Source organism: Homo sapiens, chromosome 10 (genome assembly GCF_000001405.40).
Source record: "Homo sapiens chromosome 10, GRCh38.p14 Primary Assembly".
Taxonomy (NCBI): Eukaryota; Metazoa; Chordata; class Mammalia; order Primates; family Hominidae; genus Homo; species Homo sapiens.
The window spans coordinates 5407009-5424237 of NC_000010.11; the positions used below are offsets into that span (position 1 = coordinate 5407009).

Below are 17229 nucleotides of genomic sequence, written 5' to 3' on the forward strand. Positions count from 1 at the left end.
AAAGTTTCCTCAAGTGATAATAATTGGAATTTCACGTCTGAAGAGGCCTTCTGGGGTGATAGTTTTTGTGTCAACTTGGCTAGGCTGTGGCACCCAGTTATCCAATCTAACACTAGTCTGGGTATTGCTGTGCAGGCATTGTGGAGGTGTGGTGAACATCTCCAGTAAACTTTGACTTTAAGTAAAGGACATCATCCTCAATAATGTGAGTGGGCCTCATCCAATCAGTTGAAAGACCATAAGAGTAAAATGGAGATTTCTCTGAGGAAGAAATTTCTCCTAAGGATGGCACCTTTAGTTTCAGCTTTAGCTGTTACTCAGGAGTTTCCAGCCTGCCAGTCTGCCAGCCTGCCCTACTGATTCCAGACTTTACAGCCCCACAATCACACTAACTTATTCCTTAAAATAAATCACACACACAATACTGACTCTGACATACTTGGTGGCCACCCTTAGGTTCTGAGGGTGAAAAAATGGCAGAGTGATAAAAGTGTGGTATTTATAGTTACGATGTCCTTGTTCAAAGTTCCTTTCTTGGCCAGGCACAGTGGCTCATGCCTGTAATCGCAGCACTTTGGGAGGCCAAGGTGGGCAGATCACCTGAGGTCAGGAGTTCAAGACCAGCCTGGCCAATGTGGTGAAACCCCATCTCTACTAAAAATACAAAAAATTAGCCGGGTGTGGTGGCAGGCACCTGTAATACCAGCTACTCTGGAGGCTGAAGCAGGAGAATCACTTGAACCCTGGAGGCGGAGGTTACAGTGAACCAAGGTCACGCCATTGCACTCCAGCCTGGGCAACAAGAGCAAAACTCCATCTCAAAAAAAAAAAAAAGTTCCTTTCTTAAGTATTTTTCATTGTGAGCCAGTCAATTCACTGGCCAAGTAATGAGACAAACAAAACCTTCTAAGCATGAAAATTTGTTACAAAAAAAAAAAATTATTCAACTCTGAGCAATAATTCTGATTGACATTCTGACATTTCTGAAGTTCTCTTTGGTAATTCTCTGTTGGCAGCCTCACAACCACAGCCAGATCACTGTCCTTTGCCATTCTCTCTGGCCCCTACCATTGCACTGAAACCCCTTTCTCCTTCCTCCTCTGTTCTCCTCTCCTACTACTAATATAAATCAGTCTTTTAGACCTGCAATGTCTTTAGGAAGATAGTCTAAGCGTTAAGAAAAATGAATTACAGTCTACTTTGGATTAATAGCACCTTCTCTGGCCACACATATTTCATCTCAAATTTTATTGTTCTCTAAGCTCAACAGCTAGATTTTGGAGTTTTCCATTTTCCTCATTGGAATACCTAAGAGTAAACCAATATGGTAAACAAATGATTCATAGATGATTGATTGATTGATTGACTGATTGAGGCAAAAAATGAAACAACCTCCCCCCACATCACACATACACACACAGTGATAGATTTTAAGGGATGACAAACCTGATTTCAAATATTCTGCCCTATTGTGCCTATAAGTACACTTCTGCTTGTCAGAATGACAATCAATGCAGTCCACATACTTAGCTGTTGGACTACACTCCCTTTCATTTGGCAGGAACAATTAAGTTTGACCCAATTAAAAATTACAGTCTAATAAACAGTTTTGTAAATTAATCAATAGTAGATATAGTAAATATATTTTTAAAAATTTCAGACTTTATTATAACATTCTATATATAAATTATATGTATATGCACACATACAGACATTCATTCTCCTGAATGTAATTGCTGTTAGTTCATGAGAAGCTATGAGAAGATTCAGACAAAAAAGAAAAACGTTGATGCAAAGGGCAATTCTCTAGTTATTAAGACTACTAGTTTTCTAATGGTAGGTCATTGTTTGCAAATTTGCTACATTTTTCTATGGGAGCCTACAGACCAAAGGGGAATCATTTAGCTAGTGATAGCAATGGCAAACAAAATATCACATCAAAATCATCAAATAATTTGGAAATTAATAAAGTGTTTTGATGAACACTTTGTACTCTAATATATACATATATATATATATATATATATAAAACTTGGTAAGCAGTTTTGCAAAAATAGTTTGATTTACTTAGATAATGAAAGAAAATAGGTTTTTAAATTATTGATTTACATAATAATTTACATTCATTTATTGATTGTTGAATTTATTTAATATCAACTTGCAAAATGATTGGTGTCATCACATAGGGCTGAAGGTTTTGGAAATAATCTTTGAGGAAGTTCCCCAAAAGAATATTTGTTTTGCAAATCCATGGTTGAAAAAGTTTGGGTTACACTTTGCTCTAGTCAAGTTAGTAGGAATATCTTCTCAGAGAGGGAGTTCTAGAGTCTGATTTTATATATATGAAAGCTGAAATCAAAACAATTTCCTCAAACCCTATCCCGGTGAATATTTTAAGGGAGAAGGATGATTTGTGGGGAACTGAAAGAGAGAGGATTCAGAGAACATTTGTCATGGTTTTGGGACTGTTCTATACAGTGTAAGACATAGAACATGGGGACAATGGCATTCAGACACCAGAAAGTTGATCTCTTGTAAGATCAAGAGATGTCACCAGCCTTTCCCAGGTCTTCAATGACCAACCCTCAGAGCGGTCACTTTTCTTTGCTCTTCTTCTATGGTACCCAGCCATTTTCTGATGAAAATTTGTCTTCTATTCCTTATTTCCCTAATGTCTAGCACAGATCCTGGCATATTATAGCAGGAATTTAATAAATTCTTGTGAATAATTGAACAAAATCATAAGTTCTCAAGTGAATGAAAATTGGAAACAGTTGCTCTGCATAAAACAATAGTATTCAGGTCACTGGAAAGAAGTGCCCACCCCCACCACTGGAATCCCCACATTGACATCCTGCAGTATCTATCATTTTGTGAGTAGTTATTACAAGTTACCAAAGGACTGACCACCTCTGATGACACAATCAAAACCAGTTTCAGGACCTGCAAAGCTGAGGACAGACCCTGAATTCTGAGGATCTCACCGAAGTATGTTGAAACTATTAATATGAAACGGCTGTTTCTGTGGGTAAAAAGACCAAGCGTCAGCGATTCACATGGTCCTATCTTGTGAACAAAAGTTCTCTGAAAAGGAAGTTTGGAGAAAGGAGACTTTATTCTAGTGAACAGTTTGCAAACCAGGGAGACACAGCCTTCGGAGTAAAAGAAAGGTGATTCCAGAGAATAAAGGGGAGGGTTTGGCTTCTATAGAAAAAGTTCTTGTCCAGGTTTCCAATCAGATGTGTTTATGCAAAGGAAAGATTCAGACTTGCTCAGTTCAGATTGGGTAATACAGCTGAACCCTGATTGGATAAAGCAGATGAGTTCTGATCGGTTACATCAGGTGAGCCCTGATTGGTCAATTCGGGTAAATTGTGAAAATCCCAAAGGGGTGTGAGTTTTCTGGACACAGAGTAGTTGTGACCTACTTGGGACCTGACTTGAAGAATTGCTCTTACAGGTTTATTTTTGTTCATAATCTAAACATCTGCATCCTCTGAAGCTCTGTCTTGGTGGAGACCAACTCCCCAAATATTAAGAACATTTCTGTATTCTTACACTCTAACTGCTACAAAGCAGTACTTTCTTCTTTAATTTTTGGGGAGGGATGGGGAAGGTAGAACAGAAGTGGTTCTTGACCAAGGTCAACTTATGTTCAGAGCTGGTTCCTTCCGGTGGGTTCATGGTCTCGCTGACTTCAAGAATGAAGCCATGGACCTTCATGGTGAGTGTTACAGCTCTTAAAGGTGGCACAGACCTAAAGAGTGAGCAGCAGCAAGATTTATTGTAAAGAGTGAAAGAACTAAAGCTTCCACAGTGTGGAAGGGGACCCCAGTGGGTTGCCCTGCTGGCTGGGGTGGCCAGGTTTTATTCCCTTATATGTGCCCTCCCATGTTCCATTTTTGTCCTATCAGAGTGCCCTTTTTTCAATCCTCCCTGTGATTGGCTACTTTTAGGGTCCTGCTGATTGGTGCTTTTTACAGAGCACTGATTGGTGCATTTTACAATCCTCTTGCTAGCTACAGAGCACTGATTGGTGTGTTTTACAATCCTCTTGCCAGACAGAAAAGTTCTCCAAGTCCCCACTCTACCCAGGAAGTCTAGCTGGCTTCACATCTCAATGTTACTCCCTAATTTCTTACTCTTTTTAAAACAAAAACATTTTTCCCTCATGTTATAAAGGTACTGCAAATTCAATATGTCCTTATTTTTAAAAAAATTAAATGCAAAAAATAAAAATAAAAATTTTGAATACCTAAAGTCTACCTAGAGACATTTTAATACATTGACTTTTTAATACATTTAATACATTTTAATACATTATCTTTTTTCTTTGTATAATCTCTTGTAATTCATAACTTTGAATATACTGAATATACCTCTATACTTCATGTTTTTATTTCAAATTACCAGTATACTATTACATACTTCACACTTCATTTTTGTTGGCTGAAAATATTCTTCTCAGTGGATGAGCTATAAATCATTGTTTATTTAGGTTGTTTTAAATGTTTCTATTATAAACAATGTCATTAATAGCTTCATGTTTATATAATTTTATTTTTTAGGATAAATTTCCATAAGTGGAAATATACTGGCAAAAGAGAAGTGTTTTTTTGTTTTTTTTTTTTTGGAGACGGAGTCTCGCTCTGTCACTGGGCTGGAGTGCAGTGGCACGGTCTTGGCTCAATTCAAGCTCCGACTCTCTGGTTCAACTAATTCTCCTGCCTCAGCCTCCTGAGTAGCTGGGATTACAGGCATGCGCCACTCTGCCCAGCTAAGTTTTGTATTTTAGTAGCGACAGGGTTTCACCATGTTGGCCAGGATGGTCTTGATCTCCTGATCTCGTGATCCGCCTGCCTCAGCCTCCCAAAGTGCTGGGATTACAGGCGTGAGCCACAGCGCCCGGTCAGGAGAAGCTATTTTTAAAGACTTTGACACATATAAAGCAATATTTAAAATCAAAGAAAGTGTAATTTGTTTAACAATTTTTTTTTTACTTGAAGCGGTCTTTTATTTTATATTATGTCTTTTGCTGACTTTTACAAGCAAAGGATGAAGTCACTTCATTCTGTTTTGCTAGGGAGAGACTGTGTCATGCTTATTGGAAGACATAAGGGCTCATAATTAGATTTTGCTGGTTCCCTAGAGACAGTCCCGGGAACACACTTGCATAACCTTTGGTAATTGGAAATATATCTCATATTGGCCACGTGCACAATAATTCAGTGTGAATATGGCCAATAAACATGCCTTGTTTACAGGTCATTAGTTTGGACCTCTCTTCTCCTCAAATGCTAAGAAAGATCTGGTGAATTAAAATGCTTCCAGTCCATTTGCCTTGGCCTGTAGTGAAAGTCCTAATGAACAATGAAGGAGGTACCGGGCCTTAGGGACTCAGGGATGCGCTCAGGAGTTAAGGGCAAATTTTCCTAGGTTCTTTCCTAGGCAAGTAGATCCCGGGAGCGGTGGAGGGGCGGGACTCCACGTCTCCTAGGAACCGCTGCGCGCTCACTGATTGGCTGATCGCTGCTCAGCCGCCATTTTCAAATCCCCGGATGACGGCGGTGGCGGCTGCAGTCCGCTGACAGGCGCTTTCTGCCTGGCAGAGGCTGGCGGGCATCGTGCCCGTCCCTGCCGGTCTCCCGGGCACCCGGCCACCGCCCCACCCCCTCCTCCGTGCCATGGAGCCCGAGCTGGCGGCTCAGAAGCAGCCTCGACCGCGGAGGCGAAGCCGCCGGGCCTCTGGGCTCAGCACGGAGGGAGCGACGGGGCCTTCGGCCGACACCTCCGGGTCGGAGCTGGACGGGAGGTGAGTGTGGGGGAGGGGAGGGCCGAACGGGAGGTGAGTGTAGGGGAGCGGAGGGCCGAACGGGAGGTGAGTGTTGGAGAGGCAAGGGCCGGGGGGAGGGGAGGGCTGGCCGGGAGTTGGATGTGGGGGGCGGCGAGTGGGGGTGTTGGTGAGGGCCAGGGGGAGGCGAGGGCCGCTGGGAGGTGAGTGGGGGGTGGGGGAGGTGACCGCGGGGTTGGGGGGGGGGACGGGGGCCGCTGGAAGTGAGGGTGGCACAGGCTGGAGTGACAGTGTGCCTGGCCTTGGACCGAGGTCGGTCCTGAGACCCCAAACTGCGATTTTCCCTGCCTGTGGCAAAGGGGCGGGTTTATTGAGTCTCCTCGCCTCCTGACTGTTTCTCAGGGGAGACTTAGGAAAAACCACAATGGTTTTGTTCTGCACACCCAACTGGCTGTAGGCTGGCGTTCCCAAATGCCTTTGCTCAGACCGAAACTGTCATGGTGAGCACCACGAGAATGGGCTTCCATGTCCTGAGAAAGAAAAGACTAAGGGATAAGTTGACTTCGGGATATGTTATGAGATGCCTATTAGAGAGTTCATCACAACCATTTTCGTGTTTTTTCTTTTTACTTTTTGTGGAAGTATACATTGAAATGAGAGTGTATGACTCGTGTTTGGCTCAGTGAAATTTCACAAAGCGAAGCTCAGGGGATAGCTAGTGAATTAGGAGGAAGGGAACCAAGTGAGAACAGTATCCAGGAGGCCAAATGAAGAAAGAATTTCAAGAAGAGGACGTGGCGAGCTATGTCAGATGTTATTGATAGGTCAAATAAAATGAGGATTAAGTAAAATAAGATGAGGATTAAGCTAGATGAGGAATGAAAATTAAATTTGGTAATGAGAAGAGAGTATTGATCTTAGATGGTTTCCAAGAATGGTTACAATATCGAACTTAGAGTGTTTTGCAACAGGTTGAGAAGAGAATGTGCGATTTGTTCAGAAAATAATGTGAGTGCCAACACTAGGAATATGGAAATGGAAAAATACTCTTGTTACTATTTAAGATTTATAATCTAGTGGGGAAGAAAGATAAGTAGGTTAATAATTATTATAATATGTGATAAAAGTTATTATAGTGATATACACAGAATGCCGTAGATTAAAAGGAACACTTAATCCTGACTGGAGAGAATAGGAAATGATTTCCTATTGTAATCCCTGAGTCTTTAAGGACCAGTTTAGAGAGCAGATGTAAATGGATGATTTCAGGCAGAGAAGCATGTAGAAAGGCCCTGAAGCAAATGAGTCTGATGAGTTCTGGGTATATATTCTATTTTATTACTATATTAACAGTGATATTTGTATAGAGGAGAGGAAACCAATATGGGGAGAAGGAGGAGGTAGTCATGAGAGATGATGCTAAAGAGGTAAGCGCCACATCATGAAGAGACCTTGTATGCCTTGACAGAGTTTGGGTTTTATCTTCATGGTAATGGGGAAATACTGAAAGACTTTAAATGAGCCAATGGCATGACATATTTGCATTTTAAAAGATCAGTTTGCCTTCCATGAGAAAAATAAGCAACATTTTGGAGTCATCTCACTCTTCATATTTTATGAAAACTATTCCCCAAAAATGTGCACATATACATAAACATTTCAGGAGATTTGTGGACCCAGCTGTGTATACCAAATTAAAATTTCCAAGTTTAGCTGATGGATTGGTAGGAAATCAGTCTGCAGTAGTCTAAATGAAAAAATGATTGTTCGAATCTGATAGCTGGCAATGGGATTGGTGAAGAGAAGTTTCACTGCAACAGGAAGACAAGAAAGAATAGAGAGAAATAACACAATTTTGTGGGATAGACTCTTAAGAAAGAATAAATTCCCTTGATGTGCTGTGCTGAGTTAACAAATAGAGGGAGAGGTTGAACAGACAGTAGAGGAGAAAAATGGTTGAACAAGGATCCAAGAAGGCAGAAAAGGACAGAATCCAAATTCAAGGTAGAGGATTTAGCCTAACAAGAAGCTATGGATGATATATAGTTTTGAAGAATGGGGTGTGTTGTGAGCAGGAATTTGAGGACTTTCCCACCAGGCCTCTATTTTTTGTGTGAGGTAGGAAATGATACATTGTGAGAAAAGCGTAGTAACACAGGCAGCATGAGGAGAGTGAGACACAGTTAGAAGAACCATGGAGAGAAAATGGAGAATTAAATAACATATTCCTTTTCCAGAAAAGATGTAAGATCATCTACAAGAATACGTAAAATATTACAAGATAGTATTAATTGTGAGGCAAGAAGCAACTAAGCACTGTATCAGATTCAGAAATCATAAGGAAAAAGATTTGTGTGTATGATTATGTGACTATTGAAAAACGTTCTGCAGGCAAAACTCAGTATAAACTAATTTGAAAGACAAATACGTACAGTACAATTTACCCACTTAAATTGTACTACTTAGAACATTTTCATCACCTCAAAAAGAGCATTTGTACCCTTTAGCTATTGTTCCTCTCCTACCCCTTCTGCCCTAAAACCTAATCTGTCGGTCTGTAGGAATTTCTCTGTTCTGGACATTGCATATGAATGGATTTATGTAATGTGTGTGGCCATTTTTGGTGGGCCATCCTTTGCTCTTTTTTTTTTTTCTTTTGAGACGGAGTCTCAGTCTGTCACCGGGGCTGGAGTACAGTGGCATGATCTCGGCTCACTGCAACCTCCGCCTCCCGGGTTCAAGTGATTCTCCTGCCTCAGCCTACCAAGTAGCTGGAACTACAGGCATGTGTCACCACGTGTGGCTAATTTTTTGTATTTTTAGTAAAGACAGGGTTTCACCATGTTGGCTAGGCTGGTCTTGAACTCCTGACCTTGTGATTTGCCTGCCTCGGCCTCCCAAAGTGCTGGGATTACAGGCGTGAGCCACCGCACCTGGCCCTGTTCATTTTTAAATTTCTTTTTTATTGAGTTGTTAAGAGTTCTTTATTCTGGATACAAGTCCCTTATCAGATAGATTATTTGCAAATATTTTCTCTTATTCTGTGGTTTGTCTTTTCACTTTCATGATGTGCTTCGAAGCACAAAAATGTTTTAGTTTGTAGTCCTACTTGTCTATTTTTGCTTTTGTTGCCTGTGTTTTGGTGTCACATCCAAGAAATCACTGCTAAATCCATTGTTATGAATCCTTTCCCCAGTGCTTTCTTCTGAGAATTTTATCATTTTAGCTTTTATATTTGGGTCTTTAATCCATTTTGAGTTAGTTTTTGTATATAATGTGAGATGACGGTCCAACTTAATTCTTTTTCATGTGTCTATCCAGGTACCCCAGCACCATTTTTTGAAGACTGTTCTTTCTCCCACTGAGTAGTCTTAGCACCCTTGTCAAAAATCAGTTGACCTTAAGCATGAGAGTTTATTTTTAGACTTTGACTTTTATTCTCTTGATCTATATGTAATAGCCCTATGCCATTACCATGGTGTTTTGATTACCGTTGCTTTGTATAGTAAGTTTTGAAATTGGGATATGTGAGTCCTCCTACTTTGTTCTTTTTTTCCCAAGATTGTTGTGGCTATCCTGGGTCTCCTGCAATTCTATGTGAATTTTAGAATCAGCTTAATCGATTTTTACAAAGGAGTCCACAGGGATTCTGATAGAGATTGCATTAAATCTTGTAGATCATTTTCAGGAGTATTGCCCTCTACAGAGAGTTAAGTAGTCTGATCCATGGACAAGGGATGTTTTTCCAATTATTTAGATCTTTAATTATTTTCAACAGTGTTTTGTAGTTTTCAGAGTATAGTTCTGCATGTTTTGCTAAATTTATTCCTAAGTATTTTGTTCTTTTTGATGCAGTTGTAAATGGATTCATTTCTTTTGAAATGGGAAAAGTTCCCTTTTCCCCCTCGCAGGGCGTGCACTGGAGGTGTGCTCGCTTCTTCGGTGCCCTGCTGTTCAAACCTCTAGGGGAACATATAGATAGGCAGGCTGTGGGGCTCCAACCCCATAGCCATGTCTATGGGTGAATGTTTACAGCTGAAGCCTCAGTGGGCTTGTGTTACAGGGTACTCTTAGTTTAGCCATCCGTAGGCGGCTTGTATTCATCAGCTCAGTTAGACCCCTGCCTTATTTCAAGGACAGGGGGCCTTCTGTATCCCAGGGTTCTTGCCTTGATGTACTGGAACAATCAGATGACACGTTGGCTTGGATAATGATTGCAAGCTTTTATAGAGTGGAAGTAGCTCTCAGCAGATGGGGGAGCCAGAAGGGAAATGGTTTTGCCCTGGTGTCAGGTTGCCCGATTCTCCTCCAACCTCCCTGGCCAAGCTCTGCGTCATTCTGCGAATCGATGGCCTGCCAGCTGGCCTGCCAGCGTGCTGGTGTACTCCCACGTCGATGTGTTCCTCTTGACATCCAGCCACCTGTGTGTCTGCCTGCTAGGGTCTCGGGGGGTTTTTATAGGCACAGGTGGGGGCGTGCTTTTATAGGCACAGGATGGGGGTGTGGTGAGCCAGGGTGGTCTTGGGAAATGCAACATTTGGGTAGGAAAACAGAAATGCCTATCCTCACTTAGGTCCGTGGGCCCAGGCCTGGGGATGGAGCCCTAGCAAGGGACCACGCTCTCCTCTACGCAGCACTTCCCTGCCCCGCTTTGTATCACTTTATTTTCAGTTTAATAATTTCAATTGTATAGGAATACATACAATTGATTTTTGTATATCGATCTTGGATCCTGCTACCTTGCTGAGCTCATTAGTTCTAATAGTTTTTTAGTGGTTTCTTTAGGACTTTCTGTGTACAGGGTCATGTCATCAGCAAATAAAAATAGTTTTACTTCTTTTTCCAATCTCTGGATGCCCTTTACTTTTTTCTCTTTCCTAATTGCCCTGGGTAGGGCCTCCTGTACAACGCTGAACAGAAGTGGAGAGACGGGAAATTCTTGTCTTGTTTCTGATCTTAAGGGGAAAGCATACAATCTTTCACCATTAAGTATGATGTTAGTTGTAAGCTTTGTAGATGTCCTTTATCAGGTTGAGGAAGTTCCATTCTGTTACTAGTTTTTGAGTGGTTTTTATCATGAAAGGTTTTAGGGTTTTTTTTCTTTTGTCTATTGAAATGATCATGTGGTTGTTGTTATTACTGATGTGTTACATTAATTGATTTTTTGGGATGTTAAACCAACTTTGCCTTCCTGGTATAAGTCCTGCTTGGTCATTGTGTATAGCTTTTTTAAATATATTGTTGGATCCATTTTGTTAATATTTTGTTGAATATTTTTGTATATATATTCATAAGATATTGATCTGTAGTTTTATTATCTTGTACTATGCTTGTCTGGTTTTGGTATTGGGATAATACTGGCCTCATAAAATCAGTTAAGAAGTATTCCCTACTGTTTTGTTTTTTTTGAAAGAGTTTGTGAAGAATTGGTATTCTTTCAATGTTTGGTAGAATTCAGTGTAAAGCCACCTAGGCCTAGACTTTTCTCTGTGGATAGTTTATTATTATTATTAATTCAATCTCATCTCTTGTTGTAGGTGTCTTCTGATAGTTTGTTTCTTATTAAGTCAGTTTCAGTAGGTTGTATCTCTTTAGGAATTTGTTTCATCAAAGTTATCTAATTTGTTGGTGTACCCTTCCTTGTTCATAGTATTTCTTTATAATCCTTTTCATGTAATGTCAATAGTAATGTCCCCTCTTTTATTTCTGATTCTTGTAATTTGTGTCTTCTTTCTTTTTATGATGATGGTCAATCTAGCTACAGTCTTGTCAATCTTGATCTTTCCAAAGAATGTGATTTTAGCTTCATTAATTTTCTTTGTTCTTCTATTCTTTGTTTTATTTTCACTTTAATCCTTATTGTTTCCTTCTTCCTGCTTAGTAATCTGAGTAATCTGCTCAGATTAGTCTGCATGCTTTAGGTTTAGTTGGCCCTTTTTGTTTCCAGTGTCATGATTATAGATTAAGTTACTGATTTGAGATCTTTTTCTTAATATAGGGATACAGCTATAAATTTCCCTCTGAGCATTGCTTTAGCTGCATCTCATAAATTTTGATATATTGTGTCTTCACTATCATTAATCTCAAATTCTGATTTCTTTTTGACTTCTTTGAGCCATTAGTTATTTAGGAATGAATTGTTTAATTTCCACATAATTGTGACTTTCACAAATTTTTTCTAATTTCATTACATTGCAGCTGGAAAATACACTTTGTATTATGTATTATTTCTATCCTTTTACATTTATTGAGATTGTGCTGTTTTTATATGCACATATGTTTGTAATTGTATCTTCCTGATGGATCAATCTGTTTATCACTATAAAATATCCCTCTTTGGTAACATTTTTTTCTTTGAAAGGCCATTTTGTTTGATGTTAATATAGCTACTCTAGCTTTCTTGTGGCTTGCTGTTTGCATGATACGTGTTTATCCCTTTATTTTCAAGCTGTTTATATCTGTGAAACTAAAGTGTGTCTCCTGTGGACAGCATATAGTTGGATCTTGGTTGGTTGGTTGGTTGGTTGGTTGGTTGGTTGGTTGGTTTTGATCCTGTCTGGCTGTCCATTTCTTTTGATTGGGTTGTTTACTCCAATCACATTTAACGTTATTTATTGATATAGTTGGATTTATGTCTGCCATTTTGTCGTGTTATATATGTCTTTTGTTTCTCTATTCCTCCTTTATTGCTTTCTTTTGCATTAAGTGAGAATTTTCTAATTTATAGCATTTGAATTTCTTTACTGATTTTTTTCATTGACACTGCTTTTACTAGGCTTTTTTGGGTTTTGTATGTGAACTCAGATTACCGTCTGTGGTCACTGGCTTTCAGCCAGAAATTCTTATGGTATTTCTTGTAAGGCAAGTCCGCTACCAACAAATTCTCTGTTTGTTTTTTTTCTTTGTTTTGTTGTTGTTGTTGTTGTTGTTGTTGTTTTTATGGGAATGTCTTTGTTTCTCCTTCATTCTCGAAAGATAATTTTGATAGTATAGGATTCTTTGCTGAAATTTTCTTTTTCTTTGAGCACTTTGAATGTGTTATCACACTGCTTCTGTCTTCCATTGTTTCTGTTAAGAAGTCAGAATCTTTTTGGGGTTCCTTGTAAATAACAAGTGTTTTTTTCTCTTGCTGCTTTTAAGATTTTCTTATCTTTAACTTTTGCCATTTTTACTATGATGTGTCTGTCTGTGGATATCTTTGTGTTATCTTACTTGAAGTTTATTGAGCTTTTTCTGAATGTGTAGGTGGTTGTTTTTCAATAAATTTGGAGAAGCTTCAGCCATTGTTTCTCTGAAGTTTTTTTCTGCTCTTTTCTCTTTTCCTCTCTTTCTGATATTCCCATTATGTGTATTTGAAGGGAAATATAGCAAATAAAACAAAATTTTAATGCAAATATTTAAACCAAGCAGTTCTACCCACAGAAATTTATCTTAAAGTAATGGGCAAGTATACATGGATGTATGTACAAGAAAGTATATCCTAGCACATTTGTGTAGTAGAAAGGTTAGAAAAAACAGGAGGAGGAAGCTAAATACATTATGATATTCTGTACAGTGAGATATTATAATATACAATTTTTATAACTCAGGTGGAATATATTTGGTATGTTGTATAAGATGTATTTGGGATTTTAGGTTGTTTGTTGATACATCTCCTCTATACACCTGTGCAAGTTTCTCTGGGGCAGCAGTTATGTTTTCTATGTAGATATTCCCTACAATATGACAGGCCTCTTAACGTCTTTCTCCTCACCTCCCAGTTCTGGGTAGTAGGCAAAGGTCTTTCTTTTTTATTTTATTTTTTTATTTATTTTTGAGATGGAGTCTTGCTCTGTCGCCAGGCTGGAGTGCAGTGGCGCGATCTCGGCTCACTGTAGCCTCCGACTCCCTGGTTCAAGTGATCCTCCTTCCTCAGCCTCCCGAGTAACTGGGATTACAGGCAAGCGCCACCACGCCCAGCTAATTTTTGTATTTTTAGTAGAGACGGGGTTTCACCATGTTGGCCAGGATGGTTTTGATCTCCTGACCTCGTGAACCGCCCACCTTGACCTCCCAAAGTGCTGGGATTACAAGTATGAGTCACTGTGCCCGGCCAGCAAGGGTCTTTCTAAAGAACCCTAGGTTATACTACATGATTGAGAGCTCAGAACGAGGACTGCTTTTCTGGCCTAGTTTTTTTGATACCAAGTCTGTTCTGGCCTCAGCTTTGATTTACCTAATTATTTTCTGTCTTCTCCTTTGAGAATGTATATTCTTTTAACATTCTTTTAGACTAGAACCCATAGACAAAGAGTAACGTTTAAAGATTTTAGGCATTAAAAGCAGTCAGACTTCCTAGGTTCAAATTCTGGCTCTTAAGGACCTTGGGCAAGTTACTTAGTCTCTAAATCTCACTTCATAGTACCTATGTCTAAGGTCCTGAAAATTGGACACAAGTAATGTTTAAATAATTTTATTTCTGTCTTTCGGGGCCTTAGGGAAAGCCATAGAACTTTACATATCACCCATATGGCAGAAATATAAATACATACTGATCCTTTTAAGGATTTTATATTTTCCTTTTTTGCAGATTTGAAATAATGCTGTCCATTGGTAGAAAAATAATAGTATGACCTATGATCTACCAACAGTGATAAGGCTTACTCTTTGAATTTTGTTTTTCCAGTAAAATTAATTGATGGATTTGTACAGTGGATATCCAGTTAAAGGTATAGCCTTAAATCAATTCTTGACAACCCAGGATCTTTATTATTAGTAGTAGTAGTTGCCAAAAATAAAAGGCATGCTCACAGAAGCTTGTAAGGCCATGTGGTCCCAAATAAGTTGACTATGTTTTTAAATAGTTTATTGAGATATGATTTGTATATCATAACATTCACCCTTTGTAGGTGAACAATTCAGTAATTATCAGTAAATTTATAGAGTTGTGCAGTCATTACCACAATCCATTGTTAGAACATTTCATCACCCCAAATATCCCTGCTCCCACCCCAGCCCTAGGCAGCCACTGATCTGCTTTCTAGCTCTATAAATTTCTATTTTCAGGACATACAAGTGGAATCATACAATGTGTAGTCTTTCTGCTTCTGCCTTCTTTCACTTACATCAGTATTTCATTTTATTGCCAAACCATATTCCATTATATGAATATACTACATTTTGTCAACTCCATTTACCAGCTGTTGTACATTTGATTTGTTTCCAGTTTGGTGCTTTTATGGATAATGCTGCTATGAACATTTGCATGTAAGTCTTAGTGTAGGCTGGGCGCGGTGGCTCACGCCTATAATCCCAGCACTTTGGGAGGCCGAGGCGGGTGGATCACCTGAGGTCAGGAGTTCGAGACCAGCCTGGTCAACATGGCCTGTCTCTACTAAAAATATAAAATTTAGCTGGGCATGGTGGCGTGCCCCTGTAATCCTAGCTACTCGGGAGATTGAGGCAGGAGAATCGCTTGAACCCTGGAGGCGGAGGTTGTAGTGAGCCGAGATCGTACCACTGCACTCCAGCCTGGGTGACAGAGCAAAACTCCGTCTCAAAAAAAAAAAAAGTCTTTGTGTAGACATACGTTTTCACTCCTCTTGGGTAAATTCTTGGGGGTGGAATTATCAGGTCCTACGGTAAACTTACCACTAACATCTTAAGGAATTGCCACACTGTTTCCAAAGAGTACTGGATTGTTAATGATGGAAGCCTTCAGAATTTCTCTTTCCTTCTGTTACTTGCTGTTGTCATTATCCCCTGTTCCCTCTTCCCTGAATTTGCTGCTGTGGGCAAGGCCTGAGAATTAATGCAGGACATTAGGATGTCTGGGGTGCTTTGGGGGTGGTGTTTGCTGGTTTCTAGATGCTCAACTGTGTTCTAGACAAGATATTCCAAGATGTATGTATTAGTTGAGACTCTCATGCAGATGAGAAAACCCTAGTATGATAGGAGACATAGTCTACATGATTGTCAGAAGTGGAAGAAGAGACAACTCCTTAATAGCAAAGATGCTGAACAGCCAAAACAGTAGTGGATGTCTACTACATCAGATATTTGACCCAAATAAATGAATTGTTTCTATAATAATTTAGTTTGTTTTTGCCTGATTTGCAAAGAAATTGAGAACCTCAGTTGCTTGGCACACCCCAAATGTAAAAAGTGTTAACTGCAGAGGATAAATTATACCATTCTTTTTACATGTATGGTATAATTCTTTTTATATGTTTGGCATTTACAGATTACATTTTTTATTTAATTGGAAAAAATGTTATTTTTAGGATAAGAGTATATGTACAGTGCTTGTCACATAGTAGGCACCCAATAAATGATAACATTATCCTTTTTAAAATCTTTTTCTGAAACTCGTTTTCATTCTACATCCATTTTTTATGGTGAATGCATCTTGAGGGTAAATTATGCTTTTAAGAATGCTTTTTTCCTGTTGGTAATAGTAATTTTCAATACGTTTTTTGAAAATATTTATAATTTCAGGTCAGGTCTTATCTGGCATGATGGAGGAGGTGGTGACACAAATCAGAAACTCTGAAAACATAATTTGGCTTAAGAATGAATTAACAAGATGCTTTTCTTTTGAACAGCAGCTTTATCATTTTAATTATGATTTCTTTAGACTAAACCTAATTTAGTGTAAATACATTGTTCAAAAACATACCAAATGATATGAAAGGAAAACATTAAAGGCCAAGGAAAATCTACAGGAGTCAAATCGGGAACTTAATTTAATACACTAAGCTAATTCCTTAATGTATTAGTTTATTTTATTCCTTAAATGTTGTAATTATTTGGATATATAGAAAAATACATTGGATATATGGACAAAAATTCTTGAAAAGGTGGACTGCCACTTTTCGCTCTACATTTCATCCTTTAAGCCCTCCTTTTTAGGAGGTTATTCTGTGTATCCTCTGGAAAAATAACTTGCAATCTTAATGTTTTATGAAATCATTTTTTTCCCCACAAGGATTTAAAATAGCTATTACATTTTGAGTCTGACGCTTGTGAAAAAATGAGTATATGTCTTTCCAAGATTTGTGAAAGTTGGCACTGTCTCACATCCTTTGTGGGCACGGTTTGTTTTTTGGGTTCCTTTTTTCCATGGGTATTCAAAATAAATAGAATCTTGTTATTGAAGTGGGAAAAAATAGCATTACTGTAAAGCTGGTTACAGATACTGCTGGAAAGAATTTTATCATATGATTGGAAATATTTTTCCAGTTAACCTTTTAAAAATTCTTAAGAACCATTTTTCTTTCCAGCTTTTAGATGCCAAATGCATTCTGAGGTTAGTGTGGTCATTTCTAGGGAATAAAGAAATTAGTAGCTTTGGTTTTGTAATGCTCCCTAATACTTAAACCTGAAAGGAAGTATTTACTGAATATTTTAAGTGCCACAGTTAATGCCACTTTGTAATGTAGATTTGTATTAGATTTAAA

The 17229-nt window shown here is 38.8% G+C and overlaps 1 protein-coding gene across 1 annotated transcript in view, besides 2 other annotated features; it reads left to right on the forward strand.

The window, feature by feature from the left end:
* Positions 5461–5890: a silencer, noted in NCBI's record as "silent region_2079". NCBI's record gives its function as "represses an Ori minimal core promoter by ATAC-STARR-seq in GM12878 lymphoblastoid cells {active_cell/tissue: GM12878}" and the evidence as "EXISTENCE:reporter gene assay evidence [ECO:0000049][PMID:35858748]".
* Positions 5549–17229, forward strand: part of NET1 (neuroepithelial cell transforming 1) — a 46500-nt gene continuing 34819 nt past the window's right edge. The window contains exon 1 of the mRNA NM_001047160.3: positions 5549–5812. Within this exon, the coding sequence (NP_001040625.1) occupies positions 5685–5812 (128 nt within the window). The 5' untranslated portion in view covers positions 5549–5684. The remainder of the gene's footprint in view (positions 5813–17229) is intronic.
* Positions 14206–14375: an enhancer, noted in NCBI's record as "experimental_13203 CRE fragment used in MPRA reporter constructs". NCBI's record gives its function as "activates a minimal promoter by MPRAs in K562 erythroleukemia cells, with activity observed for both the introgressed and non-introgressed 10:5463262 variant alleles {active_cell/tissue: K562}" and the evidence as "EXISTENCE:reporter gene assay evidence [ECO:0000049][PMID:34662402]".